This window comes from Homo sapiens, chromosome 12 (genome assembly GCF_000001405.40).
Source record: "Homo sapiens chromosome 12, GRCh38.p14 Primary Assembly".
Classification (NCBI taxonomy): Eukaryota; Metazoa; Chordata; class Mammalia; order Primates; family Hominidae; genus Homo; species Homo sapiens.
The window spans coordinates 45,130,500-45,141,419 of NC_000012.12; the positions used below are offsets into that span (position 1 = coordinate 45,130,500).

The 10,920-nt window shown below is 39.2% G+C and overlaps 1 annotated feature.

The window, feature by feature from the left end:
• Positions 542 to 591: an enhancer, noted in NCBI's record as "active region_6225". NCBI's record gives its function as "activates an Ori minimal core promoter by ATAC-STARR-seq in GM12878 lymphoblastoid cells {active_cell/tissue: GM12878}" and the evidence as "EXISTENCE:reporter gene assay evidence [ECO:0000049][PMID:35858748]".

A 10,920-nucleotide genomic window follows, 5' to 3' on the forward strand; every position in this document is an offset into this window, starting at 1 on the left:
GCACCAGCACCATTTGTTTGATGTTCTGAACAGCAAGATGTAAGATTAACTGCAGAAAGTGTCAAACAATAAAACAGCACATAGCCAACATATATATCATAGAAGCAAGCATTCTTCCCCTTTAAGTAGACTTCCCTAGGAAATATAATTAATCTTTTAAAAACTGACCCAGATAAAATGGAGAACTTGTTTTCTCTCAAAATATAGTGAAAGGAAAGGTAAGTGCCCATGTTATTGTACATCATAAATGTTTTCATTAAGAATTTTCTTAAATCACAAATAGGAGTTAAAGAGAATAAAATTTCAAGAAGCACATGTGAAGCAATTGTTAGAATTCATCAAACATACAAGGTATAAGATTAAAGAGTATAAAATCTACAACTCACTTACTTAAGTGAGTGGGCCATAAATGCTCCAGTTCCAAAATGATTTGCCAGTTCACAGTGAGTTTAATTGTTCAAAAGCTGTCCACTTGGTGGCACCATGGTGCTGCCGCAGGAATGAGCCTGTTGATTTGGGTATGGGTTCAGTTAGGGACTGACTTCTTACATAGGGTTTTAGGACTCTTAAACATGCGGTCATACCGCAGTACCTGCCAACAACAAACAATTGCCTTAGTCATTTGCACAAGGGAAGAAAAAGAAAAAGACATTTTACATTGTTCAAGCAAAGGCAAAATGGACAGGGTTTAAGTGGACTTGTAGGGCAGGCTGCACAAGTAGATGGATGAAAGACAGTGCAGCATGTCTTTTTATCCACATTCTTAGGCAAAAATGCCTCTGCAGGGTTTTTTTTTCTTTTCTCTCTCTTATGAGTTGATTCTAAGCAGAAAAATTGACACTAAGCAACTTCAGCCCAGTGAAAGTTCAAGCTGAGCTGCATTTGCCCCTTAATATATATTGAGTGCCTGCTATGCCATCATTATTGGGCACTTTAAGTTACATTATAGAAGGCAAAACATAGTTCTTATCCTTGATGTCTTGCAGTCCACCCAGGAAGGTAAGATGTATGCATGAAGCAGTAATTGCTCAATTGTGTGCTGAAGACAGTGCTAACTGGAAGGCATAATTAGGAATGACTTCACTACAGTCTTTCAGTAGGTGGGACTCTGGCTGGTCTTAGAGAATGGCTTCATTGTGGAAGGCAGCAGATTTCTGCACAGCTGAGTAGAAACAGTGCAGGAGGGACCAGGGCTTCCATCACAGTCACTCTAGTGACATGGTTGGGGAAGGAGGAAGTCAGAGTCTCCTGCTCTGTAGCAGCCTACTGGAGAAGCAGCAGCCATCCCAGCTGGGTTTCCCAGCCCCTCCATCCAGCTGATTCACCACTCAATAAATCTGTTGACTCATAGATTGATTTTTAAATTATGTTGACTTTTTTCTTCCAGATATTAGAGTGAACACAATCGATTGATTTGTTTAATTTATAATTTATATAGTTGAGTTCAACATTTAGACACTAAATGTGTGGGATGTGTATAAATGAATTTGGAAAGTGAGGAACCTGGAGAATACATTCTACACCTCTTAGAAGAATGTTGATGGCATTTAATAGCTTGTCCCTCAATCCATATTGAAGTGTGTAGAGGCAAAATGATTTTAAGTGTAGGATATGCCTTTTAAAATATTTCAACAAAGAAAAAAGTACATAGTGCAGTGTGCCACAGTTTTAATAATTGTTGATTCTGGCTGATGAGTATGTGAGGATTATTGTACTATTCTGTTTTTATGTGCATTTGAAATGTTTTATAGTACTTGGGGGTTGCTGGCAAGATGGTCAAACAGGAAGAGCTCAGGTCTGCAGCTCCCAGCGAGATCGACGCAGAAGGCAGGTGATTTCTGCATTTCCAACTGAGTTACCTGGTTCATCTGATTGAAACTGGCTGGACAGTGGTGCAGCCCAAGGAGGGCGAGCGAAAGCAGGGTGGGGAAGTGCAAGGGGTCCGGGAACTCCCTGTCCCAGCCAAGGGAAGCCATTAGGGACTATACCGTGCACTCTCACACAGATACTGCACTTTCCCTACAGTCTTGGCAACTCCAGACCAGGAGATTACTTCTGGTGCCTACACCACCAGGGCCCTGGGTTTCCAGCACAAAACTGGGAAGCCATTTGGGCAGACACTGAGCTAGCCACAGGAATCTTTCTTCATACCCCAGTGGAACCTGGAACACCAACAAGACAGAACCATTCACTCCCCTGCAAAGGGGGGCTGAAGCCAGGGAGCCAAGAAGTCTGGCTTGGCAGGTCCCACCCCCATGGAGTCCAGCAAGCTACGATCCACTGGCTTGAAATTCTGCCTGCCAGCACAGCAGAGCTGTGCTCAACAGTATGAGCTCAACCTAGGATGCTTGAGCTTGGTAGGGGGAGGGGAATCCACCATTGCTGAGGCTTGAGTAGACAGTTTCACCCTCACAGTGTAAAGAAAGCCACCAGGAAGTTTGAACTCGGCAAAGCCCACCCAAGCTCAGCAAGTCAGCTGTGGCCAGACTGTCTCCTCTCTGGGCAGGGCATCTCTGAAAACAAAAAGGCAGCAGCCCCAGTCAGGGACTGGGGGAAGGGGCGGTTGTGGGTGCAGCTTCAGCAAACTTAAACATCCCTACCTGGTAGCTCTGAAGAGAACAATGGATCTACCAGCACAGTGTTTGAGCTCTGATAAGGGACAGACTGCCTCCTCAATTGGATCCCTGACCCCCATGTGTCCTGACTAGAAGACACCTCCCAGTAGGGGCGGACAGACACCTCATACAGAAGAGCCCTGGCTGGCATGTGGCGGGTGCCCCTCAGGGAGGAAGCTTCCAGAGGAAGGAACAGGCAGCAATCTTTGCTGGTCTACAGCCTCTGCCGGAGACAGCAAACTCCAGCAGACCTGCAGCAGAAGGGCCTGACTGTTAGGAGGAAAACTAACTAACAGAAAGGAATAGTATCAACATCAACAAAAAGGACGTCCACTCAGAGACCCCATCCAAAGGTCACCAACTTCAAAGACCAAAGGTAGATAAATCCACAAAGATGGGGAGAAACCAGGGCAAAAACGCTGAAAATTCCAAAACTTAGTATGCCTCTTCTCCTCCAAAGGATCACAACTCCTCACCAGCAAGGGAACAAAACTGGACAGAGAATGAGTTTGACGAATTGACAGAAGTAGGCTTCAGAAAGTGGGTAATAACAAACTCCTCCGAGCTAAAGGAGCATGTTCTAACCCAAAGCAAGGAAGCTAAGAACCTTGAAAAAAGGTTAGACGAATCACTAGTATAGAAAAGAACATAAATGACCTGATGGAGCTGAAAAATGCAGCGTGAGAACTTCATGAAGCATACACAAGTATCAATAACCAAACTGATCAAGCGGAAGAAAAGATATCAGGGATTGAAGATCAACACAATGAAATAAAGTGAGAAAACCAGATTAGAGAAGAAAGAGTGAAAAGAAACGAACAAAGCCTCCAAGAAGTATGGGACTATGTGAAAAGACCAACTCTATGTTTGATTGGTGTACCTGAAAGTGACAGGGAGAATTGAACCAAGTTGGAAAACACTCTTCAGGATATTATCCAGGAGAACTTCCCCAACCTAGCAAGGCAGGCCAACATTCAAATTCAGGAAATACAGAGAACACCACAAAGATACTCCTTGAGAAGAACAACCCCAAGACACATAATCATCAGATTCACCAAGGTTGAAATGAAGGAAAAAATGTTAAGGGCAGTCAGAGAGAAAGGTCAGGTTACCCACAAAGGGAAGCCCATCAGACTAACAGTGGATCTCTGGGCAGAAAACCTACGAGCCAGAAGAGAGTGGGGGCCAATATTCAACATTCTTAAAGAAAAGAATTTTCAACCCAGAATTTCATATCCAGCCAAACTAAGCTTCATAAGTGAAGGAGAAATAAAATCTTTTACAGACAAGCAAATGCTGAGAGATTTTGTCACCACCAGGACTTCCCTACAAGAGCTCCTGAAGGAAGCACTGAACATGAAAAGGAATAACTGGTACCAGCCACTGCAAAAACATACCAAATTGTAAAGACCATTGAAGCTATGAAGAAACTACATCAACTAATGTACAAAATAATCAGCTAGCATCATAATGACAGGATCAAATTCACACATAACAATATTAACCTTAAATGTAAATGGGATAAATGCACCAATTAAAAGACACAGAGTAGCAAACTGGATAAAGAGTCAAGACCCATCGGTGTGCTGTATTCAGGAGACCCATCTCATGTGCAGAGACACAAATAGGCTCAAAATAAAGGGATGGAGGAATATTTACCCAGCAAATGGAAAGAAAAAAAAAAAGCAGCTGTTGCAATCCTAGTCTCTGATAAAACAGACTTTAAACCAACAGAGATAAAAAGAGACAAAGAAGGGCATTACATAATGGTAAAGGGATCAATGCAACAAGAAGAGCTAACTATCCTAAATATATATGCACCCAATACGGGAGCACCCAGATTCATAAAGCAAGTTATTTGAGGCCTACAAAGAGACTTAGACTCCCACACAACAATAGTGGGAGACTTTAATACCCCACTGTCAATATTTGACAGTTCAACGAGACAGAAAATTAACAAGGATATCCAGGCACCTGAACTCAGCTCTGGACCAAGCAAATCTAATAGACATCTACAGAGCTATCCACCCCAAATCAACAGAATATACATTCTTCTCAGCACCACATTGCACTTATTCTAAAATTGACCACATAATTGGAAATAAAACACTCCTCAGCAAATGCAAAAGAATGGAAATCATAACAGTCTCTCAGACCACAGTGCAATCAAATTAGAACTCAGAATTAAGAAACTCATTCAAAACCACACAACTACATAGAAAGTGAACAACCTGCTCCTGAATGACTACTGGGTACATAACAGAATGAAGGCAGAAATAAAGATGTTCTTTGAAACAAATGAGAAGAAAGACACAATGTACCAGAATCTCTGGGACACATTTAAAGTGGTGTGCAGAGGGAAATGTATAGCACTAAATGCCTACAAAGGAAAGTAGGAAAGATCTAAAATCAACACCCTAACATCACAATTAAAATAACTAAAGAAGCAAGAGCAAACAAATTCAAAAGCTAGCAGAAGGCAAGAAATAACTAAGATCAGAGCAGAACGGAAGAAGATAGAGACACGAAAAACCCTTCAAAAAATCAATGAATCTAGGAGCTGGATTTTTGAAAAGATCAACAAGATAGATAGACTGCTAGCCAGACTAATAAAGAAGAAAAGAGAGAAGAATCAAATAGACACAATAAGAAATGATAAAGGGGATATCACCACCAATCTCACAGAAATACAAACTACCATCAGAGAATACTATAAACACCTCTACACAAATAAACTAGAAAATCTACAACAAATGGATAAATTCCTGGACACAGACACCCTCCGAAGACTAACCAGGAAGAAGTTGAATCCCTGAATAGACCAACAAGTTCTGAAATTGAGGCAGCAATTAATACCCTACCAATCAAGAAAAGTCCAAGACCAGACAGATTCACAGCCAAATTCTATAAGAGGTACAAAGAGGAGCTGGTACCATTCCTCCTGAAACTATTCCAAACAATAGAAAAAGAGGGGATCCTCCCTGACTCATTTTATGAGGCTAGCATCACCCTGACACCAAAACCTGGCAGAGACACAACAAAAAAAGAAAATTTCAGGCAAATATCCCTAATGAACATCAATGCAACAATCCTCAATAAAATACTGGCAAACTGAATCCAGCAGCACATCAAAGAGCTTATCCAGCATGATCAAGTCAGCTTGCATCTCTGGGATGCAAGGCTGGTTCAACATACACAAATCAATAAACATAATCCATCACATAAACAGAATCAATGACAAAAACCACATGATTATCTCAATAGATGCAGAAAAGGCCTTCAGTAAAATTCAACAGCCCTTCATGCTAAAAAACTCTCAATAAACTAGGCATTGATGGAACGTATCTCAAAATAATAAGAGCTATTTATGACAAACCCAAAGCCAATATTATACTAAATGGCCAAAAACTGGAAGCATTCCCTTTGAAAACCGGCACAAGACGAGGATGCCCTCTCTCACTGCTCCTATTCAACATAGTATTGGAATTTCTGGCCAGGGCAATCAAGCAAGAGAAAGAAATAAAGGGTATTCAATTAGGAAAAGAGGAAGTCAAATTGTCCCTGTTTGCAGATGACATGATTGTATATTTAGAAAACCCCATTGTCTCAGCCCAAAATCTCCTTAAGCTGATAAGTAAATTCAGCAAAGTTTCAGGATACAAAATCAATGTGAAAAACCACAAGCATTCCTATACACCAATAACAGAGATCCAAATCATGACTGAACTCCCATTCACAACTGCTACAAAGAGAATAAAATACCTAGGAATCCAATTTACAAGGGATGTGAAGGACCTCTTCAAGGAGAACTACAAACCACTGCTCAAGGAAATAAGAGAGGACACAAACAAATGGAAAAACATTCCATGCTTATGGATAGGAAGAATCAATATCCTCAAAATGGCCATACTGCCCAAAGTGATTCATAGATTCAATGCTATCCCGATCAAGCTACCATTGACTTTCTTCAAAGAATTGGAAAAAACTACTTTAAATTTCATATGGAACCAAAAAAGAGCCTGCATAGCCAAGACAATCCTAAGCAAAAAGAACAAAGCTGGAGGCATCACGCTACCTGACTTCAAACTATACCACAAGGCTACAGTAACAAAAACAGCATGGTACTGGTACCAAAACAGATATATAGACCAATGGAACAGAACAGAGGCCTCAGAAATAACGCCACACATCTACAACCATCTGATCTTTGACAAACCTGAGAAAAACAAGCAATAGGTGTGAGTTCATGTCCTTTGCAGGGACATAGATGACACTGGAAACCATCATTCTCAGCGAACTAATACAAGAATAGAAAACCAAACACCACATGTTCTCACTCATAAGTGGGAGTTGAACAATGAAAACACATGGACACAGGGAGGGGGACATCACACACCAGGGCCTGTTGGGGGCTGGGGGTCTACGGGAGGGATAGCATTAGGAGAAATACCTAATGTAGATGATAGGTTGATGGGTACAGCAAACCACCATGGCACATGTGTACCTATGTAACAAACCTGCATGTTCTGCACATGTACCCCAGAATTTAAAGTATTAAAAAAAGTTTTATAGTACTTTTTTCTCAAAAGTTAATGGGTTAAAAAAAAATTCTGGAAACTGGGCAAGACTGAGCCTGAAACTAAGGGAGGTGGGTTCAGGTGAGGGTGTGGATGATGAGGAAATGAAGCAGAAGTTAGTACTAAGACCCTCAGCTGGAAAAAGTATTACAGTCATGCCTCATCGTTCAAGGAGGATTGGGTCCAGGACAATCCAAAGTCCTCACATACTCAAGTCTCACAGTCGGCCCTTGGTATAAGTGCATGTCATAGCCTACAAGACTGTATTTCCATCCATGTTTAGCTGAAAAAAAAATCTGCATATAATTGGACCCATGCATTTCAAACCCTATTGTTCAAGGGTCAATTGTATTGGCCAATGAATCTACCCAAAAGAAGGTGGAAAAAAAATGTCCTGATGGGGAGATTTACCAGTTAAAAAAGAATCTTCAGGAAATAGACTGTTTCTTTCTGTTCCAACCCACTTGTCCACACTCCAGTGTGAATTATCAGGGACTGTGCATTTAGAAGATAACAGCACCTATCAAACAAGGAATGTGCACACAACCATCAAAGTACTTTCATACAAATTCTCTCAAACATATAAGGAAAGCCATTCTCATCTATGTCTGTCCTCTAGAATTCCTCTGGCATTCTCTAATCTCATCTGCAGGCTAAAGAGAAATAGGCTAGGAAATCAAGAAACATTGAAAAAAAGGAGGAAATGTTTAAAAAGAAACACTAAAAAATGAGATATTGCTTGTAGACTGAGCACAAAACCAAAAGTAAGAAACTCTTTCTTAGAATTCTGATTCTTCCACTTCTGAGTTGTGGGGTTGAGGACAAGTCACTTAAATTTCCTGAATGGATAGAGTAATTGATTTTTGAAGTGTTTACTTTTGACCATAATTTGCACTGCAGATACTCTCTCTCCCAACTTTTCTGGTATGCACACCCACAAGGCCTCAAGTCCACAGCAAATGAGAATAAAAACACAAGATTACAACGTACAGGTTCAATAGAGATCCAACCTGGTGGTAGAAGAAAGCAATCTGGGAATGATCTGAAAAGCAAAAGACCTGATTGGTCTGCCCCAGGTGAAAGCTAAGCTATGAGCACATGCCAGAAGATTGGAGAGAGAAGAGGAAATGTGGGAAACAGCCTTACAAAGATGAATTGCATAAGAAAAAGCACTTCTCACTCCCCATGTTTCCTTCCTTGTTTTTCTAAAATAACACTCCTGGTCTCCCTTTGCTCTCTCCTTTAACTCCTCCACCAAAGAAGTGTAGAAACGTATCTGCTTGGTGAGTTTGAAATAAAACAGGACAAACATAACCTAGCCCCTTCCTCCTCCTTTCTCTCATGGCATTTATTGAGTGCTTAAAGGCCAATGGTAGCTCTTTATTGTGGACTGATGCCTTTTATCCTCTTTCTTTCTTTTTGACGTGATGCTCCTTTACACAATTTATCCTGCTTCCCTGGTTTCTTGTCTCTTTCCTGACACTGCTACTGCCCCTCCCCATCCGCTAAGCTAGTTCTTTTGACTCAATTATATTGGAGCCAGGGGAAGAAGAGGAAATGGGCCAGGATAAAACTAGGCCCATAGTTATGAAGTTGAATGGTGTCCATTCAACTTCATAAAGTTATTTAATTATTACTTTCCTTAGATCATACTTGTTCACTGTAATGTAATAGTCTCACAATTATAGTCTTTGTTTTTTTTCCTGTTGTATCTCCAACATCAATAACTGCTTGGCACATCAGTTTCTCACCAAATATTTATGATGGATGAGTGAATAAATAAATGAGGAAGTATATGATGAAAATAAGAGATAAAAAGTTTAGTTGGAAATATGAAAATCAATTAAAGACAATTAACTAAATACAATTAAAGAGTGGGCCAAGATGTTCCAGCCCAGTGCAAATTAAAATAAAGCACAATTTATTTTATGCCATAAATTGCATAAAAGAGTATTCAAGTCAAAAAGAAAGAAACAGGATAAAAGGCATCAGTCCACAATAAAGAGCTACCATTGGCCTTTAAGCACTCAATAAAATGGTGTTAAAATATAGGAAGTAAGAATTATTTAAAATAAAAGCAGAAACAAAAATATGTTTATTCCACAAGACTTTATTAGACCACTTTTAGCTTTTGACAGGTCAAGTATGCAAAAAATAAACAATGACATAAATAATTTTTAATATAGGAGAGCAAAGGACCCCCTACAAAAAATATATAGTTTCTGTATCTTTGTTACATATATGAAAATTGATATTGTACTAGATTCATTAGGTTGGCCTATCTAACAATCATTATAAACTTTATGCTCTAAGCTAGAGATTAGAAAACTGAAAACAAGCCCAGCTAGGCTGTCTTGTGGCTGGCAGTGCCCATATGGTTCAGTTCTTGCCAAAGAGACAGAAACACAAATCTACATGTGCCTCCTCTCCCTGTTCCTCTTCCTTCCTGCTTGGACCATACACAGGATGCCCAAGATGCAGCAGCACCATCTCCATAAGTTGGCAGAGCAGGAAAACAGAAAGAGCCTGCTTCCTTCAAGGCGGTCCTGGGCTTTCTCCTGTGGACTTGTCGTAGGGCACAAATCAGCCCCTTAGTCATTCAAGCCCCTCAGCTGGGTTTTCAGGCACTTGCACTGAGAACAACGCAAACTGACACAGCCCCGCCACAAAGAAAACACTAATAAATACACCAACGCAAAATCTGCACAGGCCACATCCTCCAACCACAATTCAACGAAGCTAGAAATAAATCATAAGAGTTTTAAAATCCATTTAGAAAATGTAAAGCATTCTTTTCAATAAATATTGGCAAAGGAGAAGCAAAAAATGCAAATTCATACTATTTAGACAAAAATAAAATTATAGCATTAATTATGTTACAAATTCTACTCTCCAGAATTCCTTATCTCCCATTTCTGCTGTTGTTATTTTCCTAGAATTTATCACTTTCTCATATACTACATAATATATTACATCTTTAACTTAATTTTCACCATCTCCTACTAGAATATAAGCTCCATGAAGCTAGGGACTTTTGTCTGTTTTGTTCACTGTTCTATCCCCAGCACCTGAAATATTGCCTGGCCCCCAGCCAACATTCAGTAAGACTGTTGAATAAACTAATAATTGCCCTAAAAGGCAAATATATAATTTTAACTTTTATTATTAACATTTTTAAAAGAAAATATTATAATCCAACTCAAGTTGAAAGATGTAAACAGCAATCAGGCAAACAAACAAATGAATAAAATTCCTAAATAATACAGACAGAAAAATAATAAAGATAAAAACGGAAATTAATGAATTTTTTAAAGTACCTTTTATAAATATATGAAGAAAATTTTGATGAAAAAATACAACAGACAAACTTCCGGTAAATCTGACCAATGAAAGTAGAAAATCACAAACAAAAATAGAGACAAAAAGGAAACTATTATAAAAGCTAGAAAGGAGAATAATAAGTGATAGTAGATGACTATTCCTAATTCCGTGCCCACATATTTTAGTATTAAAAAATAGACAATTTTCTCTGAAAACTTAAAAGAATAAAATGGACTTATAAAGCTCAACAAAATCTGAATAGGTTAATAATCATCAACAACCAAGAAATGCAAGTTATCAAATAATTATCTTAAAAATAAAAGGCTTTTGAAAGGATTTATTAGTTAGTTCTTACATATTTTCAAAGAAACATAAATCTTCATGCTATAGAAAATTATTAAAGAAAA